The sequence below is a fragment of the Homo sapiens genome, chromosome 2 (genome assembly GCF_000001405.40).
Source record: "Homo sapiens chromosome 2, GRCh38.p14 Primary Assembly".
Classification (NCBI taxonomy): Eukaryota; Metazoa; Chordata; class Mammalia; order Primates; family Hominidae; genus Homo; species Homo sapiens.
In genome coordinates this window covers 72,896,483-72,917,625 of record NC_000002.12, presented here as the reverse complement: position 1 = coordinate 72,917,625, position 21,143 = coordinate 72,896,483, and the positions used below count along the sequence as shown (strand labels likewise).

Here is a 21,143-nt window from a genome sequence, read left to right as displayed (position 1 = left end):
GAGCTCGTCTCCCTCCTTTCGGAGTCCCGCTGGGACCGACCCCAGCCCCCGGTGTCCCCGCACTGCCCTGCCCAGCCCCGGCCGCCCAGCGCTGCGAGGCGCGAGTTAGCGGGCACCTGCCCCGCGCTCGCCCATTGGCCGCCGCTCACCTGCCCCAAGGTGGGGGGCGGGGCGGGGCGGGGCGAGGGACGGCGGGTGGGGAGGGAGCCCGCAGTCGGAGGCAAAAGCCGGACTGGAGCCTTCGCGGGGAGATCCAGGCCTCCTCCTCCCCTCGCCACTGGCTTCTCCTCGCGACTCCGCCCTTTAGCTGAGTCTGGTGGCCGTGCCGCCGTCTCAACCCACGCGGGAGCCGAAGAAGGCGTCCGAAGGGCTTGGGGCTAAACTCCAACCCTCCCCTCCCCGGTGTGTAGCTCAGCCTAACTCTCCCATTCGTCCCGGGATGTCGTTTCAGTTCTCAGAGAACTTGGATCCGAGCGGAGGGTGGATGTTTGGGGTCCAACACATTGGTTTTCCCGAAAACCAGCTCTCTGCCCCCCTGCTCTCCGGGACTCTCCCACTCACCCACCATCGGCCTCCTGGGCCGCGGTCTGAAGCTGCGACCTTGTTCCTGAGGTTTCGCGTTTTCTGGATGTCACGGGGGACAGCTCTGGAAAGGGGACGCTCACTCCCTTCACAAGGGGCCAGGCGGGGCACTGCGCGGGAGAAGCCGCCGGAGCGGTCCCACTGCCACCCTCCAGCTGTTCGCGGGGCTGGAAGCAGCTCCAGTGCCCAGACACGGTGCCGCGACCGGCTTGGACCAGGACGGCGGGCCTCGGCACTGGGAGATCCACCCCCTCGCCTTCTCTGAGGCTCTGGGGGCTCAAGTGTCGGCGGGCCGGACCAGGTCAGGGCCTCGGAGACACTGTGGCTTAAATTGAAGCTGGCCAAGTAGCCCGAGCCCATCTCAAGAGAACACGCCAGCCGTCAGGACACGCAGAAGCAGCCTGACCTCCCTCGACCTTCACCTTCCACCCGCGACCGCGGAACCGCGGACGACTCTGCTCCGGCCAGTTTTTCCGTACGGCGGACGAATTCCCCGGGGGCAGTTCTCACGACAGGCTGTGAGAGCCGGGACTCCCCAAACTTTCCCACCCCACCTTCGAGGCCGCAGAAAGGCGCCGCTCCGAGGCCTAGGAGGGCGCGGGCGGCGGTGGGGAGGCTGGGACCTGGACCTTGCCGGCGCACTGCGGAGAGGGAGCCGCAGAGAGTTCCGCTTCCTCGCCGCTGCCGGGGTCCATTCTAGCGGCCTGAGCGCTGCCTGGGCGCGCAGATCTGGGTTGGGCCTCCTGACGCCCCAAGGCCACGGGGTCCGTGCGCCGCGCAACTCTGCGGGGACTCCAGGCCGGGTCTTGGCAGCGGCCCGCCTGAGCGCCGGGAGCCGTGGTTTGGAGAGCGCTCAGGGCGCCCCGGCCGCCACAAAGCGGGTTAAAGTCTATTTTCCACTCGACTGCTCCGAAAAGCCCCCGCGCGCCGACGCCGTTCCGGCCCCCTTGGGCGAGGTGGGGAGGGGCGGCCAGGGGTGGGGAGGCGAGGCGGCCGCACCCAGCACTCCTCCGCGTCCTGGGAACCCCGGGGCCTGGCACGGCTGAGACACCGCAGAGGCGCCTTCGGAAGGAATGATGGAATCCGTGGGGAGCGCGGGTTCTCGCTGGCCTCTCCGGAGATTTCCAGCTTTCTGTGATGGTCTTTTCCTCTCGTTTGTGTCTCAGGCTCTTTATTTTCCCCCTCTCCTGTCTCCCGGCTCCCCTACCTCCCGACTTTTCCTCCTCTGATTTCTTCCCCCTCCTCCTTTTCCCCACCCTCAGTCTGGGAAAAGTGGAAGCGCCGCCGAGGGGGGGACCAGGACCCGACCAGGCCGTATCTCTAAGGGGGCGGGGGTGCGGAGCTGGGCAGAGGTACAGAAGGAGATTTTCGTTCCATATGGAAGGAGACAACGACGGGATTTTGTTGGAACAAGGTTCCCACAGGGATGCGGGTTCAGTTGGGTAAACGTTGCCTGGGCCTGTGCTCTGCGGTGACAGAGCAAGTGCTGGGGGCTGAGACAAGACAGGAGCCCAGCAAGCTGAACCCGGCCCGAGGGCCTTGCGCTCCTAGCCTGGTAATGAATCCCACCCGTTCTGTCGCAGACCCCCACCGAGAGGCTGGCCAGGGGCCACGAACTTGTTTAACTGGGCAGGTAGAGAAGCTTGGAATCTACCGACCGTCCTAGACTTGCATCTACACTGGCCACCTCCTTTCATTCGTGTGGCTCTGGGTATACTTGTTCATATCTAAATCAATAGACCTTTTATTACACCACCTTCCCTTGTGAGGCATTCAAATGCTGACATTTCTACTCGGGAGGCTGAGACAGGAAGATCTCTCGAGCCCAGGAGGTCGAGGCTGCAGTGAGCCGTGATCATACCGCTGCACTCCAGCCTGGGCGATACAGGGAGATCCCATCTCTAAAACAAACAACAAAAAACGTTGACATCCAGCTGTCTGTCATTAACTCCACTTTACAGATGAAGAAACAGCGGAGGATCAGTAACTTGAGTCTGGTCACCGTCTTGGTTGGGCTGGGACAGCCCCGGGGTCCCAGCCTGGCCTAGCTTCCACTCCCATTCCATCCCTGTGAGGATGCAGTCGCAGACTTCCCGGGGGAGGGGGAGGGGGTGCTGGAATGCGCTGGGTGATAGGAGTTCCGTTTTCGTCCTCCCTCACCTTTTCCTCTCCCAGCGCCCCTTTCTGTCAGCTTCCTCTCCAGTAATTCCCTAATTTTCTTCCTTTTCTTCCATAGCTCTGCTTATCTTTATCCCTTGGCCAGTTTCCTCTATTTTCACTCCTCTTAGGACCTATTCTCTTGTCGTTTCCTCTGCAGCAAGTTAAGAGAAGAATTTGTCACCCTCAGGGGGTCTCTAAGCCTGCCTCTGTGTACTGGATTCAGTATCAGTGCCCCCACCCCCACCCCAATCTTCTCCTGTGCCATCTCCCCTGCCCTGTTCCTCCCAGACTCTCATACTGCTCCCTCTACCACCATCCCCCACAACTGATCGTATACACAAATACTTCCCCTCTTCACCACTGGACAGCTGCCCATCTTAACCAAAACCCGTTCCCCCCACCACCTTCTGCTCCCTGCCCTTCGTTTCCTCCCACCCAAGCTGCTGAGCTCTGCCAGAGACTGGAGGCTCTTCACGCTGGAGTCCACTACATCCCACCCATCTTCAGGCTGCTTACCTTTCACTTTGCCCCTGTCCAGCCTCCCACCAGTTTCCTGGAGGTCCCATCTCCTGCAACCCGGAGCCTCACTTTTTGGAGAATAGCCCGATGCCTCCCAGGCTGATACAGCCTAGCCTACCTGTTCTGGCTCTGGCCCCACATTAACGTTTTCCCTCCCTCTCTCTATTTCTGGAATAACCTGGCCCCAAATCCAGACTCTCCTATTTATTAGTGGTGAGCCCTGGGCCAATTATTTTGCCTCAGCTTGCGTATCTGTGAAATTGCAAGCGTTATACGGGACCTCTGTGAGGAGTAAATGAGATAACATATGTGGTGCACTGGATCAATGTCAGACTCCAAAGAGCACTCAGTACAAGTTATTGTCTCTGCCTTTGTCCATGCGGAGAACTTGGGAATCACCTCAAAGCATCACTCTCTCATCCTCCACATCCAATCAGTGGCTCAGTCATCCAGTGATGTAATCCTCAAGTCTATATCCTCTTCCTTTTGCTTCTTTGCTGGCTAACTTCGTTCTTAAAACTCAGTTCATCTCCCTGGGAAGCCCTCCACCCCATTCTTTCATAGCATTCACCTGCGATGGGGGTTGTGTGTGTCTCCATCTGTCTCCCTCACAAGGCCATGACTCCCTGCTCCCTCTAGCTGGGAAGCTGCTATGTACATCTCGCCACCAGCACAAGCCAGGCAATGTTTCTCCAACAGAGATCTTGTGAGAATTTGGACCAGCCACACCCCCAGCCATCTCTCTTTCACCTTTCACCTCCTTCTTTCCTATTCAGCCTGACTTCATCTTTATGTCTCCTTGCCTTACAAAGAGTTTTCTGTCCTCATGTTTCTCTCAGTCTTTTGACTTGTCTTTTTCACCACAAAATTTCTTGAATGATTTTTAGTCTCTCTCCAATTCTCTCACTTGCCCTCTATCCAAGCCTTTGCAACCAGACTTGGATGCCCATCATATTAGGAAAATGGCTTTTGCAAAAGCTCCAAACATTTCATTATGGTATGAGGACAAGGGCAAGCAACACGTGCTTGTGGAGAGCACAATAAGTTCAACCTCATGGAGTTATTGAGACCTAATGAGTTATAATCTCCACCTGATGAACTTGGAGCAGTGCCTGGAACATAGTAGGCTTTTGATAAATATTAACTGCTATTATTTCATAGAGCCGTGCTAGGAGCCAAATGCGGTAATGTGGTGCTTGAGAAGTGGATGGCCCAAACAGAGATGTTCTGTAAATGTGAATATCCACTGCATTTAGTGTTAAACAGGCTTAGTGCTAAAACATTTAAAATATTAATATTTTTATATCGATTACACATAGTAATGGATATATTGAGTAAAATGAAATATCTTAAGAAGATTATTTTATCTATTTCTTTCTACTTTTTAAATGTGGCCACTAGAACATTTAAAATTATGTGTCTCACATTATATGTCTATTGGACAGAGTTATAAAAAATACAGATAATCCAAAAGGGGGGAGTGAAGGGAAAACAGAGATCTTATAATTGTCAAATCCTACTACCCAGAAACAAACATCGTGAAATTCTTACAGTATATCCTTCCAGTTCTTTCTATATGTGCCTCCCTTTAAAAAAAGGATCATACTGTACATAGTATTGTAACTTCTTTATCTTTATAACCAATCAAAGCATCTTTGCCTCTCATTAAATATTTTTTATTGTTGGACATTAATACAGTTTACAGATTTTCACTGTTTTAACAAAATTTCGACAAACAGCTCCATAGCTGTATCTTACCGCATGTTTGTGTTTCTTTTCTACATATTTCTAGCTGTGTAATTTCCAGATATGCAATATTTTAATTCTTTTGATCCATTGTCACTAGTTTGGCCTCTGGAAGTGTTCTATATAGTTATTCTTCCAAAGGCTGACTTTAAGAATCTCTCTCCATCCTCTGAAATGTTCATTAGGACACCTTATTTCCAAATTTGAGTCTTTTTTAGTCACAATTGTTTATAGGCTCCTCAGCATCTGAGTACCTTCAACCCCCTTTTCTTTTGGAAACTCCCTTCCCTTTATTTTCTGAACAAGATACTTGCCTGGATCTGCAAACTCTGGGAGTTGTTCCTTCATGGGCTCTACTTTCTTCTCCTAACTGTGGGCATCCATGAAGGCATCTTTATCCTTAGCCCTTCCCTCATTCCATGTATCATGCTATTTATTCTATCTATCTATCTATCTATCTATCTATCTATCTATCTATCTATCTATCTATCTATGTATCTACCAACCATCTATCATTATCAATTTCCACACTTTCAACCAATACTGTAATGCAGACCCCGGCAGGTTTGTAATGCCAGCCCTATATTTTTCTCCAGATCAAGTCACTGATTTTCAAATGCTTGTGAGAATTTTTCTGGAGGGGTTCCTACAGGCCCCCTAGACACTCACCATACCCCCAAACGGAGCTCAACATCATCCCCACCAAATCTGTGCCTCTCTCTGGCTTCTCTCTTCTGATAATAGCTGCCCCTTTCTGCAGGACACCCAGGCTTAGCAGCTAAGAGGCACCTGTGATACCTCCTTTCTCTCGGTCACTGCTGTGCACATCCAGTCAGTCTTTGCATTCTTTCATTTCTTTCTGTTCTCCTTGCCTCTAATTTGGGTTCTTATTACCTTTTCCCAGTGATTCTCTTATGATAGCCATTTGTGATCTCTCCTTTCTACAATTCGTCTTACACGTGGCTGGCTACCAGATTTCTACAACACAACTCTAACCTGTTAAAATTTTTTCACACAACTCTGGACCCAGGGTGTTTTTGTTTTTTTTTTTTTACCTCTCTGTGACTCAGTTTTTCATCAGCAATCTGGAAATAATAAGACCTGCTGTGGAGAGTTAAGAGAATTAGAATGAGGTGATTCATGCATAGCTCTTAGCACATAGTAAGCACTCAGTAAACATTAACTATTAGTGTCAGTGTTCCAATAAAGTTCAAACTCCTAAGCTTGGCATTCGAGGCTCTTCATGAGCAAGTTGTACCTGTCTAGCCTCATGTGTTCTGCTCACCTTTGGGTAGCCTGCCCTGTGACAATACTGCCACCAGCCAGAGCATTCATCCAGGGACTCTGTGCTCCCTGTGCCTCTCTGTGCATGTCCTGTACATTTGCTTTGCTCAAAAACATTACTCCAAGCCAGGTACAATGGCTCACACCTATAATCTCAGCACTTTGGGAGGCTGTGGCAGAAAGACTGCTTGAGGCCAGGAGTTCGAGACCAGCCTGGGCAACATAGCGAGACCCTGTCTCTACAAAAAATTAAAAATATTAGCCAGGTGTGGTGGTGCATGCCTGTAGTCCCAGCTACTCTGGAAGCTGAGGTGGGAGAATCACTTGAGCCTAAAAGTTCAAGCCTGCAGTCAGCCATGATCAAATCACTATACTCCAGCCTAGGTTAACAGAGTGAGACCCTGTCTCAAAAAAAAAAAAAATTACTCCAGAGCATGTATCAGTCCAACTTCTGAGAGGAGGAAAATTTTCAGTAGTGCACATAGTCAACTATTTAGAATGCCAACTTCATGAGAACGTCTATTTTGTTCACTGCTGTGTTTCCAACACAACACGGTTGTCTGGCATATAATAAATGTTCATTAAAGATTTGTTGACTGAATATAAAAATGTGAGAAACATGACTCAAGGTTCCATTTGTTCTGAGGTGTGTAAAAATGCAAGTTTTCATCATAATAGAACGTAAAGAATATACAGTCCTTGCCCTGTAGGGTTTGCCGTACCTCCCAAGATAGGTGGAATTCTTGCCTGACCCTCAGGGTGGGCTTCCCATCCTAGGCCCCATGTTGGAAGAAGATGCTTCTTGCAGAGCCTCTGACTGCTGGGAACGGAAACCCAGACACTTTGAACTGGGAGCCTGCCCAATAATTGGCTAAACTCTTGAGTGGGAAGGACTATAAATTCAGAGTTTCTAGTGTGACTCTATTACATAAAATGTGTGAACTTGGAGCAAATATCCCTTTCTTCTGAAAAAAAAAAAACACTTCAATGGATGCCTTGTAAACGCAAAGATAAACCACTTCAACGGATGCCTCATTTTTGCAAAGATAAACCAAAGACTTAATTCTTTAATGGAATCTATTAGAGACCACAAGCTCAAGTGTTCTGCATAATGTATAAATGTCTTCTCTATAACAGGATGTCATTTTTGCAGGTTAATTTAACTTAGGGAAATGTTTCTTTTCAACATTTGGGTCTAGTCAGCTCTGTCTCTGAAAATTAGGGTTCCTTCTTGGGAGTGTGTATGCATTCTGATTCAAATTGTTCTCCATAGAACTGGAAAATGAAGAGTGAGAAGGTCCATATTTTCATCTCCCACTGGGAGAGGACTTTTTTTTTCTTTTTTTCTTTTCTTTTCTTTCTTTTTTTTTTTTTTTTGAGACAGGGTCTTACTCCGTCACCTAGGCTAGAGTGCAGTGTTGCAATCATAGCTCACTGCAGCCTCGAACTCCTGGGCTCAAGCAATCCTCCTGGCTCAGCCTCCCAAGTAGCTGGGACTACAGGGATTAGCCACCACACCCAGCTAATCTGGTAGAGAGTGTTTTGACCTGAATTGCCAAAGCCCACCCTGAGCTATTCTGCTGAATGCTCACTCAGAATTTCAGTTTAGAAGGAATTTTTGGACTTTGGGAAATGTACTTGCATCAGATGATTATGTAGTGAGAGATTGGCTCAATGGGGCTCCAGGCAAGCTCAGCCCCTAGGAGTTCTGGAATGGGCACACTGAATCTTGGGCATAAATAGGAGGTGAATGAGAGCAGGTGAGATTTGGGCTGGAGCTGGGAGATGGCTTCCCCTTCCTAAAACTAGAGGGGCTGGACCTATGGGAGGGAGGAAGTGTGATTTTACTATTACATGGATGGGACTATCAACCAGCAGACATCTGGGCCATGAAATGCAATGAAAAAATGGGGCCATTTGGTATAGCTCAATGTCAAGACACTTCAGTAGGCCCATCCCTACCTATTTTGTTGTTCTGCTGGCCTGCTGACCTGCCTACCTCCCCAACTGCCCACTTACACAAATTTATTTGTTCATATCTGGATCTGAACAACTTTGTATTACACAGCACAGGCATTTCGTATCTTTTCTGAGTTGTTGAATAATTTGGCCAGAGTCATTTGTAGATTCTTTCTTTGTGAGTGTAATTATCTGAACATGATGTCAAATTTGTTTCTAATAATACAGTACACTAGAGGTCCAGAGAGCCTTCCCAGTACAGAACATCTAAGAACTTGTTTTATTTTGACTTTTTATTATAAAAATTTCCAAACTTACATAAAGGTAGACAAAATAGTATAACGAGCACCCACATACCGTGTAACCTAGATTTTACAATTATTAACGTTTTTCCATTTTGCCTCATCCTTTTTTCTCTGGAGTATTTTATTTATTTATTTATTTATTTATTTATTTAACAGAAATAGGGTCTCACTCTGTCACCTGGGCTGGAGTGCTGTGGCACAATCATACTTCACTGCCTCCTCAAACTCCTGGGCTCAGCCTCCCAAGTAGCTGGGACTGCTGGTACACCACTGCATTGGGCTAATTTTGTTATTATTATTATTTGGAGAGATGGGGTTCTCACCATGTTGTGCAGGCTAGTCTTGAACTTCTTGCCTCAAGCAATCCTCCCATCTTTGCCTCCCAAAGTGCTGGGATTACAGGCATGAGCCACTGTGCCTGCCTTGAAGTATTTTCAAGTAAATTACAGCCATCATGATATTTCAGTCCTAAATATCTCACTGTGAATCTCTATCGGGAATTTTTTTTAAAAGGAAACTTTTATTACATGAAATTTTAAACATATTTTGTAGAGAGAACAGTATAACAAACTTCCATATATTTACCATTCAACATTAGTTAATAATCTTTTGCTAGTCTTAAAAATATCTTTTAGAATGATGGTTGAACTGTCACAAAAATAAAGAAAAATCCCCAGTTTCCCAGAGATTGTAGAAAGCTTGAATTGAGACAAGGAAATGAGTTCTGAAGCTGCAGTGTGTGTTGGAACAAACTTCAATTCTCTGGTGGCCCGGAGCTTGGGTTGTAAAGGGCTCCAAGTGGGAGGAATAACACTTGGGATTCATCCAAGGCAGGAAATCAGATCAAAGATTCCCGAAAGGTGACATCCTTACTGAGTGAATGAGAAAAAATTTCACCCCAACAAAGGGAGGTGGTGGGCATATGTGCCTGGCTCAGCTTTGGCTCTGTGTAGAGGGGAAAAAAAGAAAACATGTTTTCCTCAGAGTTTCTAACCACAGCCCCATTCTCACTTGGATGTGGGACCAAACATTTTAGGAGCCCCTAAAAGACCCCAGGCTGAAAATTTAGTATGTCTTGGAAGAAGAAAACAAGTGTATTTATTCCTCTTCTAGAGGAATACATTTGATAGCCAAACGATTCCCCCAGATAAAGTTCCGAGAAAGATAAACTCATAATCAAAAGTCATCAAATATGCAGGAAAATAAACTATCACAAACTGCAGAATGAGACCTGCAAAAAGACCACCTATGTTAGAATTATCAAATATAGACTATAAAATAATTAGGTTTAATATGTCACAAAAGAGGTTATTAAAAAGAAACTAATACCTTGCATAAGAGTGCAAAATGGTACAACTCTGGAAAGTTATTTGACAGTTTGAAATAAAGTTAAACATATAAACACTCAGCCATTCTACTCCTAGATATATGTGCAAGAGAAAAGAATGCATATGTCGGCCGGGCGCGGTGGCTTTGGGAGTCTGAGGCGTGTGGACCACCTGAGGTCAGGAGTTCTACACCAGCCTGGCCAACATGGTGAAACGCCATCTCAACTGAAAATACAAAAATTAGCTGGGCGTGGTGGCAGGCACCTGTAATCCCAGCTACTCGGGGGGCTGAGGCAGGAGAATCACTTGAACCCGAGAGGCGGAGGTTGCAGTGAGCCGAGATTGCGCCATCGCACTCCAGCCTGGAGGACAAGAGCAAGAAAAAAAAAAAAAAAGCAAATGTCTACAAGTGATTGTTCCCAGTCACCAAAAACTTGCAACAATCCATGTTCCCATAAACAGCAGGATGAATAAATTGCTAGATTCATACAATGAAATGCAGCAAAAACAAAAACAAAAACCAACTATTGATTCATGCAACAACATGGATAAATCTTAAATACATTATTGGGTAAAAGAAGCTAGACAGAAAAATATATATGCTGTAAGATTCCATTTATATGGTACCTTAGAACAGGCAAAATTAATCTACATTGATAAAAGTCAGAATAGCAGGTCAGGTGCTCACGCCTGTTATCTCAGCACTTTGGGAAGCCGAGGCAGAAGGATCCTTGAGCCTAGGAGTTTGAGGCCAGCCTGGCCAACATAAGGAGACTCTGTCTCTACCCTGCCCCCCGCCCCCCACCCCCGCCAAAAAAAAAAGTCAAGTGTGGTGGCACACGCCTGTGGTCCCAGCTACTTGGAAGGCTGAGGCAGGATTGCCTGAGCCCAGGAGGTCGCTGCTGTAGGAAGCCATGATTGTGCCACTGCACTCCATCCTGGGCGACAGAGTGAGACCCTGTCTAAAAAAAAAAAAAAAAAAAAAGCAGTTATCTCTGATGAATTATTGACTGGAAAGTGGCACAGTCGAATGTTCTGAGGTCCTGGAAATGTTTATATTTTAACCTGGTGCTTACATGGATGTACACGTAGGGGAAAATTCATCAAGATATACACTTCAGATTTGTGCATCTTACAGAATATAAATTACAACTCAGTGTAAACAGAGGACCCAGCTGATTTGGAAAAGGACCAAAGAGAAATAAAAATTATAATAACTGAAATTAGCAACTCAATAAGAAGTTAGCAGATTAGATGTAGCAGAAGAGAGAATTCATGAACTAGAAATCAGAAGAGCTGAGGAAATGCAGCACATAGAGAGGCAAAGCTGCAGGGTACATCAAGAGGTTACGAGAGATGGAGTGTTGTGTCCAAAGGATTATCGTGTATCTAACCAGGGTTCTAGAAGTAGAAAACAGAGGGACTCAGGGAGAGGCTTCCTTTGAAGAGCTAATGGCTAAGAATTTTTTAAAAATTGATAAGCCAGTTGCTATGGTATGAATGTTTGTCCCCTTCAAAACTCAGGTTGAAATTTAATCTCCAAAGTGGCAGTATGAAAGCGTAGAGCCTTTAAGATGTGATAGGTCATAAGGGATAACGGCTCTGTCCTCATGAGTAGACTAATCCATTAATGGAGTAATGGGTTAATGAGTTATCATGGGAGTGAGACTGGTAGCTTTATAAGAAGAGAAAGAGAGACCTGAACTAGCATCTCAGCTTCCTCTCCATGTGATGCCCTTTGCTGCCTTGGGACTCGGCGGAGAGTCTCCACCACTAAAAAGACTCTCACCAAATGTGGTATCTTCAACCTTGCACTTAGCCTCCATAACTGTAAGAAATAAATTTATTTTCTTTATAAATTACCTAGTTTCAGGTATTCCATTATAAACCACAAAAAATTAACTAAGACACCAATCCTTGAAATAAGAAAGCCCATTGAAATTCAACAAGATAGACAAATCTACATATAGGCAATGTAACTGTAGAATGCGTAAGGAAAAAGGATCTTAAAAGTAGCCAGAGAGAGGCCAGGCGTGGTGACTCACACCTGTAATCTTAGCACTTTGTGAGGCCGAGGCAGGCAGATCACTTGAGGCCAGGAGTCTGAGACCAGCCTGGGCAGTATGGTGAAACCCTGTCTCTACTAAAAATACAAAAATTAGCCAGGGATGATGGCGTGTGCCTGTAGTCCCAGCTACTCGGGAGGCTGAGGCAGAAGAATCATTTGAACCTGGGAGCCAGAGGTTGCAGTGAGCCGAGATCATGCCACTGCACTCCAGCCTGGGTGACAGAGAGAGAACCTGTCTTAAAAAAAGAAAAGAAAAGAAAGGAAGGAAGGAAAGAAAGAAAAAAGGAAGGAAGGAAGGAAAGTGTAGCCAGAGAGAAAATATAGATTACTAGAAAGTGACAATTGGACTGACAACCAACTCTCAACAGTGGATGCCAGGAGAGAGTGGGATATATCTTCAAAGCACTGAGAGAAAATAACTTACAACTTAGAATTGTATTTCTGGCAAAAATTGTCTTTCAAAATAAGGGTGAAATAAAGACATTTTCAAACAAATCAGAAATGAAAATTTCTACCAACTGACCCTCATTAAAGGAATTTTAGGCAGAAAGAAAATTATTGTAGAAGAAAAGTTTGAGGTGAAAGGATGAATAGTGAGTAAAGTTAATACAATATAAATAAATATTGACTATATAAAACAGTAATGTCATTGCATAATTTGTGGGACTAAAAAAATAGAAATAAGTATTGAACAACAACAGCATCTAAGTTGGGGTAGTGTGTTGATCAAAGTTAAAGTACATTTGGATCGTACATTTTTCTAAAGGAGAGTAAAGATTATGATTAACTTTAGATTTAGAGAAATGAAATATGCCATCCAAGGAATAGAAATGGGCTACTACTTCCAAATTAGTAAAAGAGAAAAAAATAGAATTTAAAAAACTAGGACAAAAGATCATTAAATAGCAATAAAACAGTTTCTTAATAAAAACAGTCTGTAGAAAAACCTTAAATCCATGGTTTCTAGGCTATAGCAGGAGTATGCCACTAGGCTGAAAGAGCCTTGCTTTGGGACATTAATCTTGTTAGAAAATAACTGAGAAAACATGGAAAGTGTCTTAACAAGAAGTGTTAGAGAATCTGTCATTGGCATTCTCTTCTTGTAGATGGAACACAATCACTGAGCAATTCTAAATAAATACTTAAATCACAGGAATCTAAAAAGTGATGTCAAAACAAAGGTTTGAGTTTCTATTTTTCACAAAAATTTCCAAGAGTTTATCATCAAGTTATGATGCCAATAGTAATAGTGAGGAGTAGTCAAATATTTCATCATCAAGAGGAAATCAGAGTTGACATAAGGGTGGGTAGAGGGAGTAACACATTTTAAGCCAAGATTCTGCACATGGTTTGAAATTGGAAAGGAAGGAATGGGCCTTCTCACCCCCAGACTACCTTTAAAGTATAAAAAGTTCAAGGCAAATGAAAACATTTTTTGAAATATCTGAGTAATTGGATTTTTCATGGGTGGAACAGAGCATTATAAAAGACATGCAATTCTGTTCCCATTCTAGTTGTTCGCTAACACAGCTCAGGAATGAAAGAACAATCATAACTTGAAAAAATTGCTGGAAGTTTTCAGAACACGAGAAAAAATATAAAATGCATTTATATTTGATGTAGTTTTATAGTAAACGTATACTTTTTGGTGACATACACTGTCTTTTGTAAAGTATTACCTGGCTAACTAAAACCTAATGAGGAAAGTAGGATGTATTTGAAGTTGAAGATATTTTATTTCTGGGAAAATTGTGTCTGCCATGGGCATAGGGGATCTAATTTGCAAATGAAGGCAAGTGTTTTGAGTTTGAAATAAAAAAGAGAACTTTATAACTAATTTAAGTTGGTTTCTACAAATTGTGCAAACTTGTGAAAGTTAGGAAAGTTACTTAACCTTTCAGTGCTACTTTCTTTATCTGAAAAATGAGAATAAGTCATAAAACCTACCTTAGAGTTTTTTGGAAGGATCCAATGAGTGTATATAGGTAAAGCACTTAGAATAGTAATAGTGTCTGGCACATAGCATGTGCATATACATGGTACATACCATGTACCTTAATGAAATAATATACATGGGCATTGTTTCCATAAACCACTCATAAGATACAATGAGACAGCTGAGGGTATAATGGTGCCCAGCTCTCAACCTGTGCAAGCTCCCTGCAGAAAATGTCCAAGGCCATCTTAATTAAACAGCCCTTCACAGGTGCTATGATGTGTTAGTCTGTTTTTGTGTTGCTATAAAGAAATACCTGAGACTGCGTAATTTATAAAGAAAAGAGGTTTATTTGGCTCATAGTTCTGCAGGCTGTGCGAGCCTGGCTCCAGCATCTGCTCAGCTTCTGGTGAGGCTTCAGGGAGCTTTCACTAATGGTGGATGTCAAAGTGGGAGCAGGCGTGTCACATGGTGAGAGGGGGAGTAAGGGGTGAGGGGAGGTCCTAGAGTCTTTTAAACAACTAGAACTCAGAGTAAGAACTCACCCATTACCAAGAGGGGGGAACATAGCCATTCATGAGGGATCCACCCCTATGATTCAATACCTCCATGAAGCCCCACGTCCAACATTGGGGATCACATTTCAACAGAGATTTGGAAGGCACACACATTCAAACCATATCACATGGGTATAGATAGTATCACTGGGAGGCTCTCACACCCAATTATTTTGGAAGCTGATTTTAATAAAGTGTATGGCTGTGTCTACACTGGAGCTGCTGACACAAGTGGAAGATTTAATGTGTTGCCACAACGTTTATGGAAGATGAGCCAAGAGCTTTATACACACATTGTCATGTACATCTTGGGGATTTATTGGTGTTGAGATGTGTCGGGATATGAAAGAACTCTGAAGTGATCTCAGTACTGTCAATTATTTGTATGACACTATTGATGCATCTCTGAAAAGCTGGCAAATTTTCAAAACATTTGTAAGTGGAGTGAAGGGATACTGGAAACTCCAGAATTGTTGAAAATGTGTTGGATTATTGGTCATGATTGAGGGGCTTCTGCAGGTTATTCAAACATGGAAAGATGTGTCAAGCTATTTTTTGAAATATACAGGTGGCTGGTGCAGTGAGGTCTTGGCTGATTTTGGTTTCCAAATTTGAATTCACCTTTTGTTTATAAATTTTAACAAAATGTAAACAATGGGCTAAGTATTACAGGCACTGGTTTTCTAAGGAGCTTCTAATTGAAACTATAGACATTCTTCTCTTTCCCATCAAAGGTTAAATAAGCATTTCATGCTTTGTCATCTGAAAGAAGTGATAAATATTTTTAAACCATTCGAGAGAGAATGGAGAAATTATGCCAATAAGTAACCCCCAAAGGTTTCAAAGTGGAAAAAAATTCTTTTAAGAAAAAAAAAAGTTCATGGTAACTAAGGTAATACATTTTCCCCTACTACTTCAGAAAAACAATTTAGTATAAATGTTTATTTCCAATAAATAGTGGCCATATTACTAAACTTATGTTTTTCAAAAACCATAAATGGCAAAATGAAAGAAATTTCAGCAACACTTTCTCATGGGACAGTATATTAAATGAAGAAATAATTAGATACATGCAAAAATTTTCTGTGTCCCTGCCTGCTGTGCCCACACCTCCACCCACCCCCTACTGGTCCTAGGTGAACCCCGTGGCCTTCCTTCTGGTCACAGCCGATTGCATCAGGGTGGTCCCCTTGGGCTTATTACTGAACTTGATTTGGGGCCAGGCTCAGGCTCAATGAGGCTCTCTCAGGCATTTGAACTAAGGGCCCCAAAAGGGAGGGATATTTGGTAATGGGCAGGGGGCAGAGTGAGTGTGGCAAAGCAGGGAGGTGGGACCATGCCTGGAGCCTGTGAGGGCTGCACCTCAGTGTCAGCCCAGGAGAGCTGTCCCTGTAGAGAGGCCCTCCTGGCTTCAATCCTCATCCCCCCACCCCAAAGCCCTGTTGTATTCCAGGTCAGGAGCACCTCCTTTAACATGAAACTTCTCTACCCATGTCTATCTCCCCTGAGCAGCTCTTAAGACGTTGAGAGTAGTGCTTATGTCTGTTATCTCACTCCCCTCTACAGCAGATGGTCTCCAGGCACACTAGGAAATGGATTGATTAGGTTAAGAGGACAGTCAGGAAATCCGGCCAGCTGAAGGATGTGATGAGTGTGGAAAGCACTGCAGGAGGGGCCTCTCAACTGGATCCCCTGGATGGTGGCCGTCAGTGGCAGGGAGAAGCCTGGAGAAGTCTCAGATGCCTACTATTGAGAACAGGGGCCTGATAATGTAGACACTTGCCCCCAGGAGAGTGGCTCCATGTAAGCCCCTCTGCTTCAAAGGCATCTGTTATCTGGTCTCACCCACCTCTCTCTAACAGACCACAAACTACCAAGCTAGCTGGAATCCGCATTCCCACCCCATGCCCATTCCCCGCTCAGTGCTTTTGCTCACAAGGTTTTGGCCAGCTAGCGTGCCTTCTTTCTCCCCACCAATGCCAACCCTGCTCAACCTTCAAGGCGTGTTTTAGTCTCATGTCTTCCAAGAAGCCCTCTCTACCCACCTCCCCTAAGCAGTGCCCTTTGGAATTGTCAGATTGCCACTTACACTTGCATTTTTACAACTCAGGAAAGCCATTGGGAAGGGACCACGGACTCTGCGGCCATGACATGAAAAGAACAAGGTGGCCACTACCCTTGGTTCTCACACAGAAATTCAGGCCTTCCTCACCCACTTTTTGACTCAATCTATGGCCCGTCCCCACCAAAGGAAAGGAGAGTCAGAGAGGTTCCTTTCTCCCACATCCATGTCTGGGTTTCCAGTGTGTCCAGGGAGCCTTTGGTTTTAGCTCTTCTTTCTCCTTCTGCCTCCACAAAGGCACATGGATGCTTCTCCCAGGCTGCAGCCCACCCATCACCCCTACCCAGTCCTGGGGACAGCCCTGTCTGTCTCTGCCCCATCCTGCAACATCAGTCCAGGCCCCCAGACACAGCCCTTTGCAGCCAACCCTCCCTTGACCAGTGAAGAGGCTCAAAAAGAGGCCCTAGGCCAACCAGATGCTCCCTTTTAGAAATGTGAACTGAAAGACATGGAAGGAAGCTGCAGTTCAGTGTGAGCCTAGGCCTTGAGAACGGGACTGCATGCATGCTGAAGTCAAAGGGAACAAAGATGAAGTGTGAGCAGAGGCAGCGTGCTGGGAGAGAGGGAGGGGATGCTCGCTGACTGGCAGACACCACAATGGGCCCCTGAGAGACAAGGCTTGGGCTCCAGTTCCCACTTACCAGACATCTGGACAGTAAACCACACAACCCCAGAAGGAAAGAGGCCCCACAGGAACGGCATAGGCCAGGCGTGTGCAGGGAGTGGGATAGGCCAAGGAAGGTGCTGAGGATGTGAAGGATGAGGAAGAGTTAGCCAAGCAGGAGAGGAGATGGAGGGGGTTTCCTGGAGGTGAGAATGTTTGCCATGCTATCAGTAAGACCTCCAGGGGACATAGGCTATAACTGCCACAGCCACAACTATTACAACTATGGGTAAAATAGTGGAATTTTTTTTTTTTTTTTGTGACAGAGTCTCGCTCTGTTGCCCACACTGCTGGAGTGCAGTGGGTGATCTCGGCTCACTGCAACCTCCCCTTCCTTGGTTCAAGCAATTCTGCATCAGCCTCCTCAGTAGCTTGGACTACAGGCGTGCGCCACCACGCCTGGCTAACTTTTTTATTTTTTGTGTATTTTTAGTAGAGACGGGGTTTCGTCATGTTAGCCAGGCTGGTCTCAAACTCCTGACCTCAGGTGATCCGCCCACCTCGGCCTCCCGAAGTGATGGGATCATAGGCGTAAGCCACCTTGCTCAGCCAAAATGATGGAAATTTAATAGAGGTCTAAAACAGCAGAACTACATTTGCTTTGCTGCCTTTCTTCCTTCTTTCCTTCCCTCCCTCCCTCCTTCCCTCCTTCTTTCCTTCCTTCCTTCTCTCCTTCCTTCCTTTCCTCCCTCCTTCCCTCCCTCCTTCCTTCTCTCTCTCCCTCCTTCCTTCCTTTCCTGCTTCCTTCCTTTCCTCCCTCCCTCCTTCCTTCTCTCCTTCCTCTCTCTCTTCCAAATTACACTATCTTATTATTATCGAGGTATTGCATGTTCTCTGTGGAAAACTTTTCAAGATACAGAAAAACAAAAAGACCTCGATAAAATCCCACCACTCAGATAACCACTATTTAAAAATCTTACTGTTATTAATATTCATAATAGATAACATTTGTTGGGCTCTTTCTAGATACAAGACACCGTTCTAAGACTTTTCATGTATTATTTTAATTCTCACGACCCTATGAGATGGATATTCTTTTTAACTCGACTTAACAGATGAGGACACTGTTGAAGTGGGTGGCAGAACTGTGACTTGAATTCAAGCAGGCTGATTTAAGCGGTAATCAGTGTTCAAAATTTTGATGTACATATTTGTGGTCTTTTAAAAAAGATCATAAACTAACATGGATTTCTTTGTTTCTTTTTACAATATAGATTTTGAAAAAAATTCAAGTAAATGAAGGCATAGCTTATATACTTTATTTTGTTCAAATAATGCATCTGTGCTACAGAGAGTTAAAAATACAGATGATTTGAGAGAGGAAGACGAAAATCACTTGGAATCCTACCACCCAAAAGACCGTTGTTTACATTTAGGCATCTATCCCCCACTCCTGGAATGAATTTAGGATTAGGAACATAGGTGCGGCTCCTGAACCCAGCAACAACACTCAAGGAGTCTTTCAATGGGCTGGGGAATCACAGGAGCTTTTGGCAGTTAGGTGCACAGAGAAGAATGTGAACTGTGTTTGAAATCAGCCTGTTCATGGAATGTTGCACAAAATCTTTATAAACCACCCTGGTTGCAGCAGAAAGAGAACTGAGCTGGGGAGTCAACAAAGCTGGACTCTCCCCAACCTTCCAAGGGGCCTGAGGTGGGGGAAGTCATTTCCTATGCGGGCCTCAGTTTTCTCATCTGTATAGTGAACCACTGCAATTCTAGCAAGGAGTGACTGGCAGCAGAGCTTCCTTTCTGGGTTATCTGCAATATTTTGGGCGATTCCTGACACAGTTCCCACCCAGCTCTGGCACAAGAAACAAGAGGGCCGGTATTATGAAAGGGTTGGGGTCAGGGAACACCAAAGGCTTAAGGCCTCCCAAACGAGGGTGTGAGCTCTATTTTCCTGGAGGGCTGGGCCAGCCAAGCCGATTAGGGGCCCGGAGCAGCTGTGGGCTGAGGGAGGCCGCTGGGAGTGAGGGGATTGAAACGGCTCTTTCCCACCCTCTCCCCCACCAGCCTGCTCTGTGTAAAAATTCCAAACTCCCAATCAAACCCCCTTCTCTTTTCTCCTTTCATTCACCTGCCCATCTTCCTCTCCTCTTCTCTCCTTTTCTATCCAAACTCATAATTAATCGCTCAAGGCAAAAGTAATGAATGTTAATTGGCCATCTGTAGGAAGACTAATTAAAATCTACCACGCTGGGGTTTCAAACATACCTATAGCAACGGAGTGAATCGGGAATGAGGCGAGGAGGGACTGAGGTAACAGCTGAAAGCCTGCAAAACACCATTGGGCTTAGGTGTGAGGGAACCACGCCAGAGAGGGGCCGAGATGCTGGGGAGAGGGAGAGATGAAGAGGGAGGAAAAAACTTCCACGATTTGCCGCGCCACTACAGGGCCTGGCATTTTGTGGCTGTTCTGTTTTGTGTTCAACAAACATTTACACATTTCCTTCTCGCTGGACATGGCCTAAGGGCTGTCTGCAGTTTCTCAACACACAATTGTTGTACCCCAGTCACAGGCCTGAACACACTCATTTATCCAGGGACACCAGCCCCGTGTCAAAATCACACACACATAAATCTCATGCACAGCTTTGCATGAGTTCCTGCTTGCAAGGTAACAACCTGTCACGTGCGCACACATGCACACCCAATTATGAATGGAGAGCAACCCAGAAATACAACATGTGGTTATATACCAGCACTCATAATCACATATATGTACATTGTTGATGCATACATGATTTAAACCCACAGACCCACTGTTATTCAAATACAAATGCTCATGTGCGCTCACAGTAGTTTTCAAAGTTATGCTTACATTCACACAATAGGCTTATAGGTGTGCATGTACAGCTATACACCCAAACCCACATTTGCACACCACACCATTATCTGGTAAGTTTTACATCAGAACACTTATACACAGGTACACACACAATTACACCCCTCCATGCATAAGAAAAGCTGAATGTTCAAACCCGCATAAGACTAATTCTAGGGTGGCAAACAGTTTTATATATATATATATATATATATACACACACACACACACACACACACACACACAGACACACACACACACGGCTTGGGCCCAGGGCAGGCCCATGTCTGATTCATATGTATCCGTGATGTGCATACACAGAGACCCAGGTCCCTGGTGAGAACATATTCCGGGTGATGGCTTCTGGGCTCGAACCACTGATACAAGTCTTTGGCTTCATCTCCTCTCTCAGAACACCCTGCTGTGAGCACCATGAGCATACAACGCCTGTTAGATTGTTCCATCCAGCCTTTGGGCAGAAAGAACCATGGATCTGAGGACAGCATGAGAGATGGCCTGGAGTTAAGATGGTCTCTGATGAGGCCAGGACAGGCGTGAGGGTGCCAGCCTGTGGGATGGGTGGCAGGGCCTTTGTATTCAAGTCTTCAAGGGGTCAGTTCCGTGGATCACGGGAGGATTAAATGGGGTGGGCATGGCATTGTGGGAAGAGCACCAATACAGGGTGGGGTCCCTTTGGCCAGGGTCCCTCTTTCCTCTTACTTGGGGTGAAAAAGCTGCCCTCCTTACTAGATAGTTTCTGGGGCCTCTTTCTCATTGCTATACAATTTCTCTGTGATAAGCTTAGATTAAAGCAGGAGGAAGTGCAAACACAAAAAAAGAGCGTCCTGACATTTGGGGCCAGGGAGGGGGGTTGAAAACCTGGAAAGAGTCACCAGAGAAAAATTTCTACCCAAGGATCCTTACAGGAAAAGGCTCAACATTCTCAAATCCTCCAGGCTTTGTGCCAACACCCTATGCTCCTGGAGACTTGGTGTTTGAGGTTCTTGGACCTTTTGTGCCCGGAGTCGGTGCCCAAGGCCCATCCTCAGGTCCAGCAAGGAGAGTGGTGTGGAGAAGAGTGGGTCA

The 21,143-nt window shown here is 45.6% G+C and overlaps 1 protein-coding gene and 1 pseudogene across 2 annotated transcripts in view, besides 7 other annotated features; one reads left to right on the top strand and one right to left on the bottom strand.

Annotated features, from left to right (window-relative positions):
- Positions 1-311: part of a silencer, noted in NCBI's record as "silent region_11628", that runs on past the window's edge. NCBI's record gives its function as "represses an Ori minimal core promoter by ATAC-STARR-seq in GM12878 lymphoblastoid cells {active_cell/tissue: GM12878}" and the evidence as "EXISTENCE:reporter gene assay evidence [ECO:0000049][PMID:35858748]".
- Positions 1-742: part of a biological region, named in NCBI's record as "H3K4me1 hESC enhancer GRCh37_chr2:73144013-73144629", that runs on past the window's edge.
- The window catches only part of EMX1 (empty spiracles homeobox 1), an 18,703-nt gene extending 17,266 nt beyond the window's left edge, over positions 1-1,437 (bottom strand). The window contains exon 1 of one of the 2 annotated variants that reach the window (XM_011532697.4): positions 562-1,437. In XM_011532697.4, the coding sequence (XP_011530999.1) occupies positions 562-568 (7 nt within the window). In that variant the 5' untranslated portion in view covers positions 569-1,437. Of the gene's footprint in view, positions 108-561 lie in introns of those variants that run through there. The other variant, NM_004097.3, reaches the window with a different exon arrangement.
- Positions 126-742: an enhancer, noted in NCBI's record as "H3K4me1 hESC enhancer chr2:73144013-73144629 (GRCh37/hg19 assembly coordinates)". NCBI's record gives its function as "activates a minimal SCP1, AML or CMV promoter by ChIP-STARR-seq in primed H9 embryonic stem cells {active_cell/tissue: H9 hESC(primed)}" and the evidence as "EXISTENCE:reporter gene assay evidence [ECO:0000049][PMID:30033119]".
- Positions 743-1,360: an enhancer, noted in NCBI's record as "H3K4me1 hESC enhancer chr2:73143395-73144012 (GRCh37/hg19 assembly coordinates)". NCBI's record gives its function as "activates a minimal SCP1, AML or CMV promoter by ChIP-STARR-seq in primed H9 embryonic stem cells {active_cell/tissue: H9 hESC(primed)}" and the evidence as "EXISTENCE:reporter gene assay evidence [ECO:0000049][PMID:30033119]".
- Positions 1,452-1,621: a silencer, noted in NCBI's record as "silent region_11627". NCBI's record gives its function as "represses an Ori minimal core promoter by ATAC-STARR-seq in GM12878 lymphoblastoid cells {active_cell/tissue: GM12878}" and the evidence as "EXISTENCE:reporter gene assay evidence [ECO:0000049][PMID:35858748]".
- On the top strand, positions 14,695-15,649 carry LOC100419678 (zinc finger MYM-type containing 1 pseudogene; annotated as a pseudogene).
- Positions 15,560-16,341: a transcriptional cis regulatory region, noted in NCBI's record as "candidate enhancer chr2.2721 targeted for multiplex CRISPR interference". NCBI's record gives its function as "positively regulates EMX1 gene expression with high confidence in K562 cells {active_cell/tissue: K562}" and the evidence as "EXISTENCE:mutant phenotype evidence [ECO:0000015][PMID:30612741]".
- Positions 18,664-20,025: an enhancer, noted in NCBI's record as "VISTA enhancer hs1025". NCBI's record gives its function as "enhancer in: forebrain[7/8]" and the evidence as "EXISTENCE:transgenic organism evidence [ECO:0001131][PMID:17130149]".